General features: G+C 42.0%; 1 annotated feature.

Annotated features, from left to right (window-relative positions):
* Positions 17,229-18,153: an enhancer, noted in NCBI's record as "NANOG hESC enhancer chr18:35415501-35416425 (GRCh37/hg19 assembly coordinates)". NCBI's record gives its function as "activates a minimal SCP1, AML or CMV promoter by ChIP-STARR-seq in primed H9 embryonic stem cells {active_cell/tissue: H9 hESC(primed)}" and the evidence as "EXISTENCE:reporter gene assay evidence [ECO:0000049][PMID:30033119]".

Below are 20,811 nucleotides of genomic sequence, written 5' to 3'. Positions count from 1 at the left end.
TCGGGAAGGAAAGTACAGTTACCGAAGAAGTAAAACTGAAAGTACTTTTCGATGACTGGTTAATTGGGAAAGCAGTTAATGCTGATTCCAAGATGGGAAGCAGAGTCACTGGGGGAATGTGGTGCCACTCAAAGGGTTTGTAAATCAGAGGAATATGGAAAGGGTCAGGGTCAAGTAGCCAACTAGGCTTTTTGGTTTGGGGACAAGGGGAGGAAATCCTTTAAAAGCTATGTATTGAAGTTTTTACCCTTGTTTTTTTTTTTTTTAAAAAAATTTCCTCCTGTTAATTCTATCATTAGAAGTTTATTCTAAAAGGTCTACAAGGCTCCTTAGTTCCCCAGAGAACTTTCCTTCGAAGGCAAATACCAGGAAAGAGGTAACATGTTCTCCTTAGGTAACCAGTGGCCTGGGGAGGAGGCAATTCTCATTAGTCATGAGGCCAGAAAGCTCCAGGAGGAGGACTGGCCCCCACAGAGAGGAATTTGTGTGAACTCCATAAGAAAGATGCAAGCAAAATGCTCTGGTGCTCTAGGGGTGGCAGAGGACTAATGATGTGCCACCCGGGCAATCAGAGGCATGCCCATGAGGTCCTCACATTTAATCTGGGGCAGAGGAGGCCTGAAAGAGGAAGCAGGGAGGAGGTGAGTGTGATGGATTTTGCCAAGGGCCAACCTGAGCACATCAGGGACCAACAAAAGAGCAATTTCCTTATTCTTCAGCACATTTTGCAGAGATATTATAAATATGGCTATGGCTTTAGGCTCAGGCTGAGACAGAGATTCATTATCTCACCTGCTGAGAGTGAACTAGACATGAGGCCCCTTCACAAGGTAGCCTTGTGTCTTTTTGCCTCTTGTTCTCTCTCATTGTGCCCAACCACATGCCATCAATGTTGTCACAGCCAAACGTTCCCTCATGGATGAAATAGACACTGGATCTTTCTGAGGCAGTTGTTCTGTCTACCTGCATAGGAGAGATAGCTGACAGTTACAAGGTCTCTGGGTACACCTCTCCTAGCTCGCAGCTGAAAGCCCTGCAAAGGTCAGCACCCAAGGGCCCTGCATCGATGACATCACCATCTCCCCACTCTGTTTCTTTCAATGTGTTTTTTAAAACTTTTTTACACAGCACATATAATTATGGGGCATTTGGGCCCAATGCATTATCTCAGCTGAAACACAAACCTCGCCATGTGTGGCAGCACAACATCATGATCAGGGTTCAGACAATTTCACAAACCAGCAAAATATCAACTCATACAAAATCACACAGAAGTGCTTCAGTACATACCAACCCTCTTGATAAACAGCATGCACAGTAAAGGTATATTCTGGCACTTCCAATAATAGTGAATAAATCAAAGGTCATTTATTCTGAGATCTGGCCTGAACTGCATGATTTTACTGAAAGATTACTTATTTTGTGATTTTCTTTTATTTTATACAGAGTAATAGCCATTCATTCAACTGAAATTGTATTGAGTACCTAGTATCAGTCAATAGTTTTAAACTATTATTATATGCTTCTTTCAGTATTGGGCACAACCATGAAAGTGAAAGACACATTAACAATGCTGATAATGGTGAACTCAGGAGTTGAGGAAGGACTTAAAACTCTGGAATTCCAGTCTCCCCTCTAGTACTCTAGTGCCCCTTCCAAAGCCCCGCAAGACATCATAAAACTTCAGCTTCTGCAATCCATGTCAGGCAACATGATCTTTGAACAATAGCCCAAGCTGTTTTCAGACAGCTAGGATTCATACAAGTACTCCCACAGCCCTTTAGAACATCCCTCAAGTGTTCTGAATTTTTTTTAATCTGCAAGAAAAAAAAATTAAATAATATTTTAAAATACCCAGTCTCTCTTCTTTTCCATGTGATGATGGCAATTACTTTTGCACCAACCTAATATAAGAGAGTATCAAGTCTTTGTGATAGAATCATGTTTTGTATGAAAACTTTTGAAGATTTTTCACAGCAACAGATACATTGATTTTAGCAGAATGTTTGTGACCAGGTTGAACAGAATTGGCCATTTATACTGAGGAAAATGAAAGGTAAACTTCGATAAGAATAATAAATTCATATTCTGGAGAAACTAGGAGAATACTATCGAAAATTAGGAGTCCAAGAGTACAAATGTGAACATGTTGCATTAAGAGGATTTAACCTGGAGGCCATGGGCTGGACATGTCTGCTTGGAGTGGAGGCCTTAAGGTAGACAGCTTGAATAAGGGATTTTGCAACATTCAGACATACCAAGATGGGAAGAGGAGAGAGACTAGGCAAACTTAGAGATCAACCCTATATGGAGTGTGAGAGAAGAAGGTAGTTTGCTGTGACCTAGCAAGAGCAAGCCTGGAGAACTGGGAGCATGGTGAACTGATACAAATATACTTCCATTTACTGAGGTCCCAAAGAGTGCATGTACAGAGGGCATCCACACGTATGCTGAGGAACAGGGGCCATAGATCAATACTTGAATGCTCCATTCATTTGCTACAAAAAAAAAAAAAAAAAACACAAGTAAACAAAACAAAATATGAAACATTATCCTAATCACATTGCAGGGGTGAGGGTAAAGTAGGATTTTTCACAAATGTCTACAAAACCAGGCAGTATATAACATATGCATGCCCCAATGTAAAGTGCCTATGAACCCACAATGAAGCAAATAGCTCTGGCCTGGAGACCTACTGGGCCTGTTAACCACTGCCCCCATCCCCCACCAAGTAATGCCAGTGTAATATGATGTGGATCTTGTCACTCCCTGGATGGAAATGTAGTGGAAGTCACTTGAAGAAGGAGTGGAAGAATGAAGTTTATGTCTGCAGGGTGAGTGGAGACACAGCTAATCCTGGCTCCATTCACCATTGAGATAGGAAAGGCAAGCCAGGCAGTGGCCAGGGCCTGACTTGCCTAGCAAGTCCACCCAGCCTTGTATTGAGAAAAAGATCAACAGCTGCATGAGGATCTATGCCTTTTAACTCTGAGACCCCACCCACCAGTAAACCCAACCCAATCAAGTATGCCAGACTCAAGTAACGCAATTGGGCTAATCCTTCTTCCTTTTTGGGGTAGAGAGGAAGCTAAGAAGAGATGAGTGGAGGCAGGCACGCCTGACAGGAAGAAGAATGGAAAGATGGAGGTGTTCTCTCCTTAGATGGTAAGCATCCTTCAAGGTCTGAGCAAATTCTAGCTCTCTAAATTCCTTAAAAGCCTCACTACTTATCCTAAACTAAAAAAGAATGTCAAGTATACTCTTTATGTTACCAATTTCCTTTTTTGTTTTAAATTACTTGGGGTATAGGTGTTTCCTCCACCTAAATTATAAGCTACTTGGAGGTAGACTCTAGATCTTATTAATCCTCAAGCCTTCTACCCCCATGGCTCTTGGTGTAAGACATACTCAGTAAAAAGTAAATGTGAGCCCAAAGAGAGCATCACTAACTCCCTGGACTTCCATGCAGTGCAATCTTGGAAGAATAGAGGGCATACAAAGAGGGAGAGGGTAGAAGGAGCCAACTCCGAAAGGGAAAAGATGCTGTATGTGGCTGTCAATCAACTAAGACTTAAAGATAGAAAACTCTGTATCTTCAGTTAGGGGGAGGAAAAACTATGACCTGCCCCTCCACTTAAGGGCATATTCCACACCCCTGAGCATGGCATGCAACTTCAGGTAGCAAAAAGAAAGTTAAAAACCAGGTGAGCTGGAGGAGCTGAAAAGTTGGGGCTGATCAGCAAGTCCCTTGGCAGGTGGAGAGGGAGAGTTGGTTGAAAAGAGAGAAATCCATGGATTTTCCCCAATTCTATAAGTTACAACCTTCTCACATTCATGTGATACCCTTAGCACTTAGCACAGTGACTGCCACCAATAAAAGTAAACTGCCTGGATCCATGAGGCAATGACTAATCAATTAGTGAACTTCCAAAATGGATGAATGAATTCTGGACCTGTCTCAGGTGCAGCCTTTCCATAGAAAGGCCAAGTAAAAGGGATCCTAGTTCTCCTCTGTTTGTTCAGCTACTTTTCTAGCTTAGGAATAAAGGCAGGAACTCAGGACTCAAGATCTGCCCAGAATTAGAGGAAAGCACCAGGTTGTGTGGCAGCAAGCTGCCCTTCTGCTTTATTTCTTGGGGGCACTGAAACTATTGGGCAAAACAACATGAAGATTCTTAAGGTCAGATCTCAGACTTCAATATACATTTGAATTTAATAAGATCAAATGAAATGGACAGAACTGAATTGCAAGATGGACAAGTGAACAGACATGAGCCAAATGCACCTAAATAGATGGGAACTTCCACCCAGACTTTTAGATCTGCTTTGGCCCGATTGGACCCATAGAATTGCATAGACACATCCGAGTTCTCCAACAGTTTGTGTCATCATAGCAGGCGTGCAAAGGTGTGTGACTGCCACATAAACCATCTAGGGTCCCAGGAGTCAGCCCCTCCTGCACTGGCCTGTGGCTCCCTCTGGGCATGTATCTCCCTGCCCCACATGCTATTCGCGGTTTTATGTATGAACTCTACCATGGAAGTTATCCAACTGCATGAAAGAATGGAAGATATTTTTGATATTTTTCTTTTTTTTTTTTTTTTTTTGGCCTTTTGGGGTTCTTGAGGGGCATAATGCAATAAGAATTCATTAATAACACCTGTAATCCCAGCATTTTGGGAGGCTGACGGGGGCAGATCACAAGGTCAGGAAATCGAGACCATCCTGGCCAACATGGTGAAATCCCGTCTCTACTAAAAATACAAAAATCAGCCGGGTGTGGTGGCACATGCCTGTAGTTCCAGCTACTCAGGAGGCTGAGTCAGGAGAATCTCTTGAACCCGGGAGGTGGAGGGTGCAGTGAGCTGAGATGGCACCACTGCACTCCAGCCTGGCGACAGAGCAAGACTCCATCACAAAAAAAGAATTCATGAATAAAATGAATCCTCTCAGAGGGACAATCTCTAGGGTCCTATTACCCTCATTACCCAGAGCACTCCTCTCCCAAAAAGACTCTCTCCCCACGGGATCCTCAGATTCTACACTGTGCAAGAAGCTCACTCTTCAATGATTGCTATGATTTGAAAGTCCCCTCTGAAACTTATGTTGAAATTTAATTACCATTGTAAGAGTGTTGAGAGGCAGTACCTTTAACAGGTGATTATGTCATGAGGGTCCTGCCCTTATAAATGGATTAATGTCATTATGGTTGGAGTGGGTTACTTAGCAAGGGAGTGGATTTCTGATAAAAGGATGAGGCCCATTTTCTGCTCTGTCTCAAAAGCACCCTTTCTCAACATGGGATGCCCTCCACCATGTTATGATGCAAAAAGAAGGCCCTAACCAGATGCAATGTCTTGATCTTGGACTTTCCAGCCTTCAGAAGCATAAGCCAAATAAATCTCTTTGCTTTATAAATTACCTAGTCTGTGGTATTCTGTTATAGCATCAGACTAAGACAATGATTGATTTAAGGTGCACACTGTTCAATGTTCAGTTGTCAGCATGCCTTTTACGTTTGTTCTTGTCAGGGCTGGATAACACAGTCTGTAGACCCCCCAGGGGCAGACATCTTGCCTTTTCTATCACTTTATACAAGGCCCAAGTGGAGAGGGAAGTGGGGTTAAGAAATAGTGGGATTTTTTTTTAAAACAATAGGCAAATTCAGATTACTAACATAATCATTATTAACAGACAATAATGATGTGGTAATGACAATGATGGTAATTATAAAAATCCCTCAAAAATCATTCTTCCCCTCCTCCCTTTTGAATACACAAGCTGGCCCTCACAGTGGTTCACTACAAACTGCACACTTGTGGAATCCTGGGTAAAAACTTATTCAATTTCCCTGAGCTTCTGGTAAAGTGCACAAAAGGGGCATGTATGTGAGTGTGTGTGTGTGCACGCATGCAGGCAGGTACATAGACTGATTGTCTTATGTCTCCAACAGGAAATGACTCCAGGGTAAGGCACAGGGGAAGTCTTTGCCGTCTGCAAGCTCCTGGGGTGTGACCATAACCATAAGGTCTGAGGGTTTGGGGAAAAGTAGTTTGCAGTGTGGGAGATGTTCCTGCATTTGAGGGGAGCATTTCTTCAGGCCATTGTGGACCAATAAACGGTTCAATTTTTTCATTGTTCTAATTAATTAAGTTAACTTCCAAGGTGTGTTAAGAAGCAATGCCTTGGGTGATTAACTGTTCCCATATCAAGGTGTTTTCACAAACACATTTACCCTGATTAGTGTACACATTATTATGTAATTAAATACCTCACACAGAGGAATTTATTAGTGCCTTCTTGTCTCCTAACAAATAAAGCAGCCCTCCAAATCTCTTGGAAAAGACAATTCCAGTTGCTAGGAGAGAGGGACAGACAGATGTGGAGACACTCACCATCTAGATTGGGAGGGAAGTTCCGTGAATTCCATGGCTGCCCCCTGTCAAGATCCCACACCCCTCTGGGCAGTGCTTCCTCCCAGAGATTGCAGCCTGACTCACTCCTGAGCCCTTTGTCCTTCCTTTCCTCTTTTCCCTGCTTGGTCCCAGCAAGTCCGTATCACTTATCAGAAAGGCTCCTTTTACAAAATGGAATAAAGAGAAGGTCTTTGCATGGAAGGTATGAGGACTCTCCCTTCATCTGTGCACATCCCTCTGAGCTGGCCTTCAGAAAACTGATTGAGTTCACAACGTTGCATCTTAACCTCCTCCATCTCCTCCTTCTCTTCCATCCCCCACATACCACTCTCTGCAGAGCCAGTTTCTCTGGGGCCCACTCCCTATTGTATGGGAAGGAAAGGCTTATGTTTTCAGATATGGAAGTGATTAAGTGCTGGTCAGTTATTGGATTCTGAGACAAGTTAGAAGAATAGTTCTGCCGAGGTGGGTGGATCATGAGGTCAGGAGTTCAAGACCAGCCTGGCCAAGATGGTGAAGCCCCATCTCTACTAAAAATACAAAAAATTAGTGGGGCGTGGTGGCGGGCACCTGTAATTCCAGCTACTCGGGGGCCGAGGCAGAGAACTGCTTGAACCCGGGAGGCAGAGGTTACAGTGAGCCAAGATTGTGCCACTGCACTCCAGCCTGGGCGACAGAGTGAGACTGTCTCAAAAAAAAAGAAAAAAAAAAAAAAAAAGAATAGTTCTTTCTGGATAGGCCAATTTCTGAAAACCTTTTCTCTCATGGCTGCCAACTGTATTACATGTATAGTCAACCCTACAAATCCTAAGTGTGTTCTAACAATAGCAATATTAATAACACACTTATTGAACATGTCTGTCCCCATACAACTGTGTGAAGCATTTATGTCTCTTGTTGATTAAAAAAAAAAAACTCTGTAAAATATTTCAAGAGGTTTATTCTGAGCCAGTATGAGTGGCCATGGCCTAAGGTATAGTCTCAAGAGGTCCTGAGTCCAAGCGCAGTGGCTCACACCTGTAATCCCAGCACTTTGGGAGACCAAGGCGAGCGGATCATTTGAAATCAGGAGTTCGAGGCCAGCATGGCCAACATGGTGAAACCCCATCTCTACTAAAAATACAAAAATTAGCTGGGCGGTAGTGGTGTGCCTGTAATTCCAGCTACTCAGGAGGCTGAGGCAGGAGAATGGCTTGAGCCTGGGAGGCAGAGGTTGCAGTGAGCCATGATCGCACCACTGCACTCTGGTCCGGGTGACAGAGTGAGATCCTGCCTCAAAAAAAAAAGAGGTCCTGAAAAAGTGTGCCTGCAGTGGTCAGATTGTCAGGTTACAACTTAGCTTCATACATTTTTAGAGGGACAGAAGTTACAGCCAAAGACATAAGTCAGTATATGGAAGGTATACTTTGGTTTTGATCAGAAAGGCAGGATGTCTTAAAGTGTGGGGCTTACTGGTCATAGGTGGATTCAAAGATTTTCCAGTTGGCAATTGGTTAAAAGAGTTAAGCTTTGTATAAAGACTTGAAGTCAGTAGAAAGAGGTTTTGAGTTAAGGGGGGTTGTGGAAGCCAAGGTTCTTGTTATGTAAAAGAGGCCTCTCCTAGTAGCAGGCTTCAGAGAGAATAGATGGTTAATTTCTCTTTTCAGACCTTAAAATGTGTCAGACTCTTGGTTAAATCTCTCCTGGTGGCATACACCTATGGTCCCAGCTACTCCGGAGGCTGAGGCAGGATGATCGCTTGAGCCAAGGAGGCTGAGACTGCAGTGAGCTATGATCTTGACACTGCACTCCAGCCTGGGTGACAAAAGGAGACCCTGTCTCAAAAAAAAAAAAAAATTAAATATATTCTGGATCTGAAAAAGATCTAGAAAGGGAAGGGGTTTCTCAACAGATATAAATTTCCCCCACAAGACAGCTTGGAAAGACCATTTCAAAATATGTCAAAGAAATATATTTGAGGGTAAAATATTTTTATGGCCTTCAGGGCCTGTATCTGTCATGCGATGCTATCCCAGAGTCCCGTTGGAATTTGGTATCTATTGTCACAAAGAGTCTGTTGTGAGTGTTACAATCTTCATGTTATTGTTAATGCTGGTCAGCTGTGCCTCAACTCCAAAAGGAAGGGGATATAACGAGGCGTGTCTGACCTCCCTTCTTGACATGACTGAAAATTTCATTTTTCAGGTTTTCTTGGCCCAGAAGGGGTCCATTCAGTTGGCCGGGGGGCTAGGGATTTTATTTTTGGTTCATATCTTCATTTAATATAATCCTACAACTCCAAGAGGCAAGTGCTACTATTATCACTACTTACCTGATGAGGAAGCTGAGGCACTAAGTGACAGTGACTAGGTACCGTATTCAAGATCACACAGCCAGGAAGTAGCCAAGTCATGGAAACGAAGCAGGGCCTTCTGACTGACAGTCCTTGCCCTGGACCTCTGTGCTAAACACCTGCCCCATCCTCAGTGTTGAGCAGAGGAACCTAAGACTCTGATTTTCAGGTCTAGGGGCCCTCAGTCCCATTCCTTTGATGTGAGAAGCGAAGCATGTTTCTTTGCTTGTCTGTTCCTTTTGATGCAGTGAGGCCCAGGCAACTTAGCCACCTCTGAGAGGATAAATTAAGTGACATTTCTAGGGAATATAGAAAATACTACTGAAGGCCAAGTGAATCAATGCTGAATGCAGAACAAAACAGTTCCCACCACTGGGATCAGACTGCTCAGGTTGGTGGCAGGGAGAGAATTATGTGAGCCGGGGGCTAGCTCCTGAGGGAGCCGAGATTGATTCTGTATGATTGATGACTCGGGGACAGAATGCCAAGTCATCAATTGCCTCGGCTCATGCCACGGACGGCATCAAGATCACTTTTCCCTGGTGCCCAGCCTGAAAGATTTCTCTTCTGTTTGTTTGTTTGGCCTGGGGCAGGCGCCTGCTGGGCTCAGCTGTGTAACTTTACCAAGGCCTTCTGAGAAAAGACAGGTGACAACATCTGGCAAGAGGACACAGAACTTGAAGGAGAAGCAGCAAAATTGGGTGTGGGGTAGAGACTGTGAATGTGTGTGTGCTTCAGAGACAGAGAGAGGGGAGAGGCAGCAATAGCCTATGCTGAAAATCTTGAATTCTAGTTCCACATGTGCCAGTGTATAATTACTAATGAACTAAGGTATTTTCTCTGTGTCTCAGTTTCTTCATATAATGAATCACAATAATCAAAGCTATGCCTTCTTTCACATCAGGATGTTAGGAAAAGATTCATAACCCTCTCCAAAATTTGCTCATGTTAGCCTTGGGATTTAATATTTCCTTCTGTGCCCTTTATCATGGTTTTTGGAGAAAATTTATAGCTTCCTTTATATAATCTCACACTGTTGGATGGCCTATGCTAGCTCCCTATATGAAAGTCCTACCACTTAATTAAAATGGATGCTTCCTGAGGTCAGAGACCACAGCTTTTCTTTTCCTAAATCATCTATAAGCCTGAAGCTTAGCAGATCATATGCTCCATAACTATTTACCCCGATCAGTTTTGTTTTTATATGTATATATGTGTGTATATATACATATATGTATGTGTATATATACATATATATGTGTGTATATAAATATACATATATACACGCATACATACACATTCCACCTATATATGTATACACACACATATATTTTATATATATATATATGCACATATAACACATACATACCTCATACATCCCATGAACTTATATAAATGGTATCAGGGAGGCTACAGCGTGGAAGAGATTGAAGGCATTAAACACTTTTACAAAAAGTACAACTGTGATTGTAAAGACATTAGGGGAGGGATAAGCCTATTGGTCTTTGAAGATAATATCAGGTTAAGAGATAACAGTGTGAAATCTTAGTTCCTCCCTTCCTATTTTGCTCTGTTTCCTCTGATAGTGTTAATGAACTTTAACTGGAACAGCAGAATAACATGGCTAAGATGAAATTAAAGCCCAATATAATTGAAAGGATGGTGGCAAAACACATATCCACTTTTTAAAAATCTCTAGGTCTGATTATAAAATGGGTAATTCATACACATGGTAAACCAATTGGAAAAAAAGTGAAAGGCAGAGAGAAGAAAAAAATAAACCTCTACAAACATCCACAAACCATAATGTTCAGTGCTGAACATTATTAAATACTACTCATATTTTCTCTAACACTCCATTAGTCTGTGTGTGCCTGTGTATGTGTGTGTATTTAATTAGAATTTTAATATGTAGTCCCTTTAAATTAGTTCGAGTCTTTCGGCTCCAACTAAAACTCTACCCCAGGGAGGAGAAAGTGATTGGAATCTCTTACATCAGAAAGCAGTCACAGAAATCACATGTGAGTTAGCCACAAAAAGGAAAAATAGTCTCATTTTCTTCTTAGATAAAACGTATCTTAATTTTTATATATTTTTTCTTTTTTTATTTTATTTTATTTTATTTTTATTTTACTTTAAGTTTTAGGGTACATGTGCACAATGTGCAGGTTAGTTACATATGTATACATGTGCCATGCTGGTGTGCTGCACCCATTAACTCATCATTTGGCATTAGGTATATCTCCTAAAGCTATCCCTCCCCCCTCCCCCCACCCCACAACAGTCCCCAGAGTGTGATGTTCCCCTTCCTGTGTCCATGTGTTCTCATTGTTCAATTCCCACCTATGAGTGAGAATATGCGGTGTTTGGTTTTTTGTTCTTGCGATAGTTTACTGAGAATGATGATTTCCAATTTCATCCATGTCCCTACAAAGGACATGAACTCATCATTTTTTATGGCTGCATAGTATTCCATGGTGTATATGTGCCACATTTTCTTAATCCAGTCTATCATTGTTGGACATTTGGGTTGGTTCCAAGTCTTTGCTATTGTGAATAGTGCCGCAATAAACATACATGTGCATGTGTCTTTATAGCAGCATGATTTATAGTCCTTTGGGTATATACCAGAGATATAGATCAATGGAACAGAACAGAGCCCTCAGAAATAATGCCGCATATCTACAACTATCTGATCTTTGACAAACCTGACAAAAACAAGCAATGGGGAAAGGATTCCCTATTTAATAAATGGTGCTGGGAAAACTGGCTAGCCATATGTAGAAAGCTGAAACTGGATCCTTTACACCTTATAAAAAATTAATTCAAGATGGATTAAAGACTTAAACGTTAGACCTAAAACCATAAAAACCCTAGAAGAAAACCTAGGCATTACCATTCAGGACATAGGCATAGGCAAAGACTTCATGTCTAAAACACCAAAAGCAATGGCAACCAAAGCCAAAATTGACAAATGGGATCTAATTAAACTAAAGAGCTTCTGCACAGCAAAAGAAACTACCATCAGAGTGAACAGGCAACCTACAAAATGGGAGAAAATTTTCGCAACCTACTCATCTGACAAAGGGCTAATATCCAGAATCTACAATGAACTCAAACAAATTTACAAGAAAAAAAACAACCCCATCAAAAAGTGGGCAAAGGACATGAACAGACACTTCTCAAAAGAAGACATTTATGCAGCCAAAAAACACATGAAAAAATGCTCACCATCACTGGCCATCAGAGAAATGCAAATCAAAACCGCAATGAGATACCATCTCACACCAGTTAGAATGGCAATCATTAAAAAGTCAGGAAACAACAGGTATTGGAGAGGATGTGGAGAAATAGGAACACTTTTACACTGTTGGTGGGACTGTAAACTAGTTCAACCATTGTGGAAGTCACTGTGGCGATTCCTCAGGGATCTAGAACTAGAAATACCATTTGACCCAGCCAAATGTATCTTAATTTTTATAAGAGATTTGACAAAATAGCTCATGGTATGAAGATGAGATAGAGAACTATGGGATGACATACAGTCCAAGGATGCAGAAAGCAGATTTATGCCTAAATGTGTTGACCACCCCCACATAATGTTGGGGTGGGCCACAAAGGCTCTACTTCACCTTAGTCATTCATTCATTCATTCATTCAATTACTTGCTTAGGGCTTGCCCTGCCCAAGCACTACTCCTGGGGCCTCAGGACCCAGGGTCCAGCAAACAGAGTGAATTCCAGCAAGTGATCTCCTCAGGTGTCTTCCTGAAATGGTCCCAAAGAGGTGGCAAACAGGATAAGCAACAAGTCCTAAACTGAAGACATCGACCAATGATTAACAATACTGAGTTTACCAAGGAAGAATGTACAGGCTTCCATCTAAGTTTTAAAAATCAACTCCTTGGGGGCCGGGCATGGTGGCTCATGCCTGTAATCCTAGCACTTTGGGAGGCTGAGGCGGGTGGATCCCGAGGTCAGGAGTTCAAGACCATCCTGGCCAACATGATGAAACTGTATCTCTACTAAAAATACAAAAATTAGCTAGGCTGGTGGCAGGTGCCTGTAATCCCAGCTACTCGGGAGGCTGAGGCAGAGAATTGCTTGAACCTGGGAGGCAGAGGTTGCAGTGAGCCAAGATCACGCTGCTGCACTGCAGCCTGGGTGACAGAGTGAGACTCTGTCTAAAAAAAAAAATAAATAAATAAATAAAATAAAATAAAATAAAATCAACTCCTTGGGAACAGGATTGGAGAAAAGGGATTCAAGAGCCATTCACATGAAGAAGGACTGAGAAATGTTTCTTAAGTACAAATGTATCAACAGTTGGATGCAGACACTAGAAAAGCTGAGATAGTCCTAACATAGCAAGTATAACCCTCTGTCCATGCCAGTGGAGGAGCAGTCCCATGTTCCTGTGCTCATTGTGATTGTGTTATGTTCTGGGCTTGGAACCTTAAAAGGGACCTGGACAGGTCACCATGATGCATCCAGATGTGAGGCCAGAGAGGTGAGAGGCTTAGAAGCCCGGTCATGAGAGAAGAAAGAAGAAAAGTGAAATGTTTAACCAGAGGAGAAAAGCCACATGGTGATAGGTGAGTAATCAGCAGGGGACATGAGAGATATTACCATTTAAACCCCTGGAGAGACTTTTTTCAGAGAAGTAACAGATTAATCCTACAGAACTCCCAGGATAAAGGCTGGAAATTACTGAGATGCTCAGAGTTTTAAATTATTATAAGGAAAAACTTTCCTCTTAGCCAGGATGCACCATACCTGGACTAGTCTTGATTGTGAAACAAAGAGTTCTCTTTGTTAAACAAAAATGTATGGGAAGCTATTGTTTTGACCTAAGCTCCAGTACTAGGCCCCAACATACTAGACCAAACCAGAATATCGTCACTCATGCTATGTGCCACCAATCAAATTGAACTTGAAATGGCCCAGTTAAAAAAAAAAAAAAAAAGAGAGAGAGACTCACTGCAGCCAATCAGAAGAAGCCCAGTTTACAGGAATCCTCTTGATAAGGAATTCCCCTCTGTTATAACCCTATATTGAAAGTAACTCTGAAACAATCAGTCCTCCTTTTGTTACCAATTTCTGCTTTCTTCAGCCCTTTTCTGCCATAAAGTCCACTTCCTTTGCTTAGCTTGTGGGAGCACCTATTCTATTTTATAGAATAAGATGCTGCTCCCATTCATAAAATGCTAATAAAGGCCAAGGAGATCTTTAAACTAAATTTGTCGAAATTGTGTCTTTCAACAACTTCCATCAAGAGGGTATGCAAAATCAGGGTCACTATGTGTCTGGATAGTGTAGAAAAAACTTCTGTGCTGGTCAGAGTTTGAAGTCCATGCCTCCAGAAGTCTTTCTGTTGGACATTCCATGACTTTCTGACAGCTGCAGTTTGGCTATATAGCGGAAACCAGAAAACTGGGGAAAGATCTATTTTTGGCATTTTTTTCTTTCAGTTGTCCTCCAAATCCCATGATATCTTACTGGCTCAAGCACCCCTGAAAAACTATGTTCTCAGTTATTGAATAGGTAAAAAAGAGCCTGTGTCTGCTTCACTGTCTAGGGACTCACTCCCAAGGCTGTCAACTCGACCAAGGGGGTTAAAGCCTAAATCTAAAAGCTCAACTTCCATTGACATTGAAGGTGGATGTTGCTGGTAGAATACCATTCATCAGGCAGGTGGGCAGGGTGATAACTTCCTGAGGCAGTGTGGACTTCCTGAAATCCATCACATAGCACCACCCAGGCTACACTTGTGATTAAGCTTGCCATGGCAGGAATATAACTTGTGTTAACAAATTACCTCCTACAGTTACATCTCTACCTCTCCCATAAGGCTAGGACTGCACCAAATATTGAGGCTCCATCCCTTTTCTGAAGCCCAAATAGGTAGACCCAACCTAGCCTTTGGTGATGAATTCAGTTGAAGAAAAAACAGCATCTGTTTCAGAGCAGCAGCAAGTCCCAATGTGTTAGAGACACTCAGTTTGAAGACCTAAAGCCATGGGTGTTAGAATGAAACCAATCAGCAAAAGTCTTTCTTCATTGAAATTTTACCAGAAGGTATAAATTTTTCAAACGAATAAAAGTGCATCTAGTCTGAAGCAGTGATTAGAAGTGAAGGAGTCTAGAGGCTCATGTACTTAACCCCCTGCATCTTGCCTGTGTCTCTCAGGGGGACCCCTAAGAAGGCTCTGCAGAGCCGAGTTTGAAAACTGGAGAGCCACTTCGCATATTGGGACACAGTGAGGCAAAGGGCCCAGAAAATAAAAGCGACCCACACAAATTGACAGCTAATCAGCAATATACATGGAATCTATTCTCCTAACCCCCACAGTGGTCATGTGCTATGCATGATTACATGGGTACATTAAGAGAATCAGAGAAACATATTGCCAACTCAAAATGATGAGTCACTTTCAATCTTTTACTTATTGGATCTGGGATTAGTTACATCATTTTCCCTCCAAAGAATATGTTATGTTATGGTGAAAATGGGGGGAAAAAAAAGGTGGAAGGTGAGATGAAAAAAAATTCTGCTTTGGCAACACAAACACGTATTTTCTGCAAATTTACTTGCAGGCATGAATTTGGCTTTTTTTTCTTTTTCCCATGGAAAGTCAGCATTTTTAGTCTCAAAAACCGCTTTCTCAGCAAAATAATAGTTTTTGGTCCATGGAAGTTGCCCTTCGTTTTTGCAAAACAGAAGTTTGAAGCTCAATGAAAAATGGAATGTCTATACCATCTCCTCTCTCTTTCCTGGGATTCATAATACTAGATAGGCTTACAGCCTGGGGGCTGCATCCAGAGGGACATTTAAGAGAAGCAGAGGAGAGGTTTCCTCTGCAAAACCAAATGGTTCAATAGAGTGGATATCCACCTGTATGTTTTCTGTGAGAAAATAAAAATAGCTCACGGCAGTCTGAGCTCTGTGAGGTATGCAAAATTTATTAGGCCCAGGGAGACCTGAGTATGGGACTTCAGTCACACTTCCCCACTCATTCCTGGGGACAATTGTTTAAAGGCATTTTGTTCCTGACTAGCTTATCTTCACGTTCCTGGAATTTATGATACAAAGAACAATGTATAGCCAATCAATAGCTTATGTTATTTTTATGTAAATTGTTGGCAAGCAATTTAGAAACTGCTTCTTCTTTTCCTTTAGAAACCCACTTGTAACTACAGCTATATTCAGGACAACTTGAATTTATGCTCCTGAGTTACAATTCTCAAACTTGGTCCCAATAAACTGTTTGTATAGAGACTGCCTCCTTTTTTTTTTTTTTTTTTTATTTTCCACTTACGTCAACGTGTGTGACCCAGAGTCTAGCCTTCTCCCTCCAGGCCTCACCTGGCTGTTGTCCAGCTCATGAGACCAATGCCTGGTGTTCTAACATCCTGTCTATAGTAGATCCCATTTTATCTATTACTTTAAACTTACCCTCATCTCTCTTGATTTTGTTTTCTGTTATGTTTTGTTTTGAAATGGAGTCTCACTCTGTCACCAGGCTGGAGTGTAGTGGCACAATCTCGGCTCACTGCAACCTCTGACTCCCTGGTTCAAGGGGTTCTCCTGCCTCAGCCTCTGGAATAGCTGGGATTACAGGCACGTGCCATCATGCCCAGCTAATTTTTGTATTTTTAGTAGAGACAGGGTTTCACCATGTTGGCCAGGATGGTCTCGATCTCCTGACCTCGTGATCCACCCACCTCGGCCTCCCAAAGTGTTGGGATTAGAGGCGTGAGCCACCATGCCTGGCCTCTCTTTTGATTTTGCAAACTGTCTTCACAATAGACTTTCAGTTTTCTGAACCAGAAAAATGTTTGCTTATTCCATATGACCTGGCACATGGCTGAGCATATAGTTAGCACACAGAGAACAGTACATAAATAATTGAAAGGTAAGTGAAAATAATTGAAAAAGTAATTGAAGTCAAGTATACCATGCTGCCACAACCACACTTCCTCATCCTCATTCTTTTTCTTTCCTTTCTTCTGCAAAGTGTGTGCAACCTTGAGCAAGTTATCTTCTCTGAGCCTTAATTTCTCCATCAACAAATGAGAATATACATACTGTCATTGTAGGCTCTTTGTAAAGTTAAATAAGATGATGTGGGAGTGCAGTAAAAACAATCACTAAAGGTTTCTTTGTTCCTGCTTCAGATGTTTCCTTTGTCAACTGGAGAATTAGGCTCATAAATTTGGAAATGAGAGCTTTATTTCTCATAAAGGGTTTCAGGCTGCAGGCTGGCCATTCTGACAGGCTGGGAAGCATAGCCTCTGGCCAGAAGCCGAAAGCAGACACTTCAAGGAAGAGGCAAAGGGAACAGGAATTTATGCTGAGAGCAGTGGCCAAAAATACATATTCAATAAGCTATAGGAGGAGTCATTAATATTTACAAAAGGAGAAATGTGTGCATGTGCAATTCAGCTTCATGCCCCTCCACAGGACCCATGTTCAAAAAATGGCAGCATTTTCATGATCTGAGGGTAGAGTTTTTGGCCCTCTGACATCAATAGGTGAGGCATGGGTCACAAAAAGCCTTACTTTGCATTCTCCTTAGACTGGCCTAAACCACTCTCTGGCCAGTAGTCTCTTATCAGGCAAAAAAGGAGGGGCAGAATCAGGCAGTTGATTGATACCAGTGGTGGAGTCTTTTGAAAGGGCTGGTTTCTGTTTAACCCTTAGGGAAGAAAGCCTCATGATGGTTAGCAAGGGAGGGGGTATAATGAGGCATGTCTGATCCCCCATCCCCCATGGCAAAGAATTCAGTTTTCAAGGTTACTCTGCCATCCCTTTGGCCAAGAGATGGTCTGTTCAGTAATTGAGAGGCTTAAAATTTTACTTTTAATTGACACCTTTAACTTTCTGCAATCTTTTCCAGCACAGATATGTATAAATGCCTGTACTTCTCTAGTTAAGTGAGTAAACACTTGTCTACCCAGGGTGCCTTGACAAAAGGAATGCCCTTCCACCCCTTGTTTTATCTTACCAGAGGTATCCAGTTGACAGAACATTCATTCAGCAGTCAAGCCTTAGGAGCTGAGGTTAAGGGTTAGGTGGAGAGATGTATGGGCCAGGGATGCCTGAATCCAGGGACCATTTGTAGCTATCACTCACTTCAAGGAGCAGATAAGGAGCTATAACCCACCAAGCCATGCATTCAAAGCAGTAGAGTTCAGGACAATAGTGCATCAGACCCCCTGAAGGCCTGCCAAAAAACAAACAAAGAAAATAAAACTAATGCTAAGCACACAGATATCAGAGGAAAGAGAGGCATTGGAGCCCTGAACATTCTTCAAGAACCAAGCGGGCATCTGCAGCAGCAGAAGTGGAAAACCTGGAGTAAGTACCAGGGTGCCCATCCTTTGGCTCTGCCTAGCATCCTTGTCAAACAGGTCATAGCCCCTGGCACTAGGTGAGGCATCTTCAGCCAGGCTCAGGCATTCATAGCTCTTCACCAGCCTGGTGACATCAGCCTAAGGCTTGTTTGGTACCATGTTTATTGTTTACCCTGAGCCCAGCACAGTACTAAATGCTTTGCATGGATCATCCCTACAACCTTATGAGGGATATTCTATTCTTAGAATTATTCTTATTCCTTTGTAAAGGAAATTAAAACAAAGAGAAATTAGGTAAATTAAGTCAAGGTCCCACAGCTAGAGTGCAGATGTACCCTAAGCCAGGCTGATCAAAATAATTTCTTGGGATTTTTCCAGACTTAATCAGGGAAAGTAAATTTGTGAAGGTTGCACTGCCCAGTGCAGTGCCATTTGGGACCATTTGCACTGTCCTCCTTTTTCTCTGGTAGTGAGTTTGGAAGGATGTAATCCAGGATTTGCCTGCAGCCATAGTTCTTGCCTTAAGAAAAGGTTAGTTGGGCTGTCACCCCAAAATTAGAGAAGAGATGGGGAGCCCCAGTGAAGTCTGACCCCACAACCCCGAGGCAGGCTCTATTCCAGGCCTGCTTTTCCTTGGGATTTCATGATGTAAGCCAAAAGAGACAGAACTCTCCCCTGCCATACACATATGTTATTGTTGACTTAAGCTTGTTTAAGTTGGTTTTCTGTCATTTACAACAAAAGAGTCCTGATGAATTCAGTAACTCAGAGTTTCCAGTCTCTAACTTAGCTGCCTTTAGTCCCCTCACACAATGATACACAGTCCTGAAGGAGAATAATCTGAAGGTCTATACACCAGGCACCTGAAAATAGCAGACTGGACAATGCAGAGTGCCCAGGGAGGATGGCAGTCAGCAGAACTTACTGAGGCAGGAACCACAATAGGCAGTGGCTCTGACCAGCAAGGAGAAAGGAGAGGACCAGAGCAAAGCTTTTTCTTCTAAATTGCCCCATTCATTCTGACAGCACTCCACATATGCCTGCTCCAGGCCAACTGCTACACTCAAAACACCCTAGAGCGGGGTCCCCAAACCCCAGGTCACAGAGTGCTGCTGGTCTGTGGCCTGCTAGGAACCAGGCGACACAGCAAGAAGTGAGCAGCGGGCAAGAGAGCATTACTGCCTGAGCTCTGCCTCCTGTCAGATCAATGGTGGCATTAGATTTCCATAGGAGCTCAAAACCCTGTTGGAAAAATTGTCTTCCATGAAAGTGGTCCCTGCTGCCAAAAAGGTTGGGGTCAGCCGACCTAGACAATCATTCTGAAGGCCTCTATCATATTCACACCTGGAATGCTGACAAATATTTTTGGTCAAAGATTCACTAGCACATTAAATCTGTAAAAAAATTAAAGTTCTAAGTTGTCTAAAAGAAGCTCACCCAAAGCAAGAATCCCTGCTTTGGGATCTGTGATAAAGGGATTTTAGTTGCCCGGCAGCCCACAGGGACAGCAAATTCATTCATTTGTGAGAAAGAACGAATAAGGGCTGAGGTGTCTGGCTGTTAAACGCCCCTTACTACTCTTCACTATTTTTTTCTTTTTAAAATTCCTATAACTTATTCACTCACCACATCTTTATCCAAATTGTGATATATCCTGAGGGGGAAAAAATCATTTGTATTCCCCACCATCTAGATCTAATAGACATTAATATTTTGACATGTTTTCTTCAAATCACACTTTTTCTGAGAAAATAGATGGTTGCAGATGGAAACAGCTGAAGTTCCCTTTATAAATCCTTCAAATCCCATTCACCTGCATCTATCCCCAGGTGTAACCACCTCACTCCTTGTGACTTTACTTTTACTACATGTGCATAGCCATAAAAACATAGACATTGTTTGCAAGCTTTTCAGCTGTATGCACTGCACACTTTACATGAGATTAAGGTTTTCAAATGCTCCACATGTGTGCAGGACTCCTAGTTCATTCATTGTAATAGCTGTGCAGGTGTATTAGGTGAACATACAATTTATAATATACAATTTATTTATCCACTCTCATATTGATAGACATGTATATTGTTTTCAATTTGCTACAACAAACCATGCTGAAAAAGACTTCCTTGTGGGAATCTCACTTCAGCACCTGGGTCTGAGTATCTTTAGTATATATACACCAAATAGTAGAATTCTAAGGTCATAAAGCATTAGCATCTTTCACTTTAGTGCACAATGCTAAATTGCTCCCCAAAATCATTGTTACCTACTTATTTGTGTGTCAACAGTGTATAAAAATCCCTGTCTCTCTGAAGCTTCACCAAGACTTGGAATTATTAAACTTTTTACCTGGTGTGTAAAAAGGAATTTGTTTTCAAATGCTTCTTATTAATCACTGATGCATTTGTGCTCCTATTCAAATGTTTACTGGCTGAGTTTTCTTCTCAATGAATTGACAGGTTATTTTCCTTAGCTCTGGTTCCCATTATGTTCTTTAGCTTTTCTTTTGGGTTTGTAAGACTTATTTACATACATATTCTGGTTACCATTCCTTTGCTGACTAAAGGTACTGGAAACATCTCCGTATGTGTGGCTGTGTGGCTTGTCTTTGAATTTTGTGTATGGTGTCTTCAGTCATACAAAAGATTTAAGATTCAGAGGGTGGAACCAAGATGGCAGAATAGGAACAGCTCCAGTCTACAGCTCTCAG

This window comes from Homo sapiens, chromosome 18, assembly GCF_000001405.40.
Source record: "Homo sapiens chromosome 18, GRCh38.p14 Primary Assembly".
Taxonomy (NCBI): domain Eukaryota; kingdom Metazoa; phylum Chordata; class Mammalia; order Primates; family Hominidae; genus Homo; species Homo sapiens.
The sequence above is the reverse complement of the archived record's forward strand: the minus strand, read 5'-3'. Positions and strand labels throughout refer to the sequence as shown.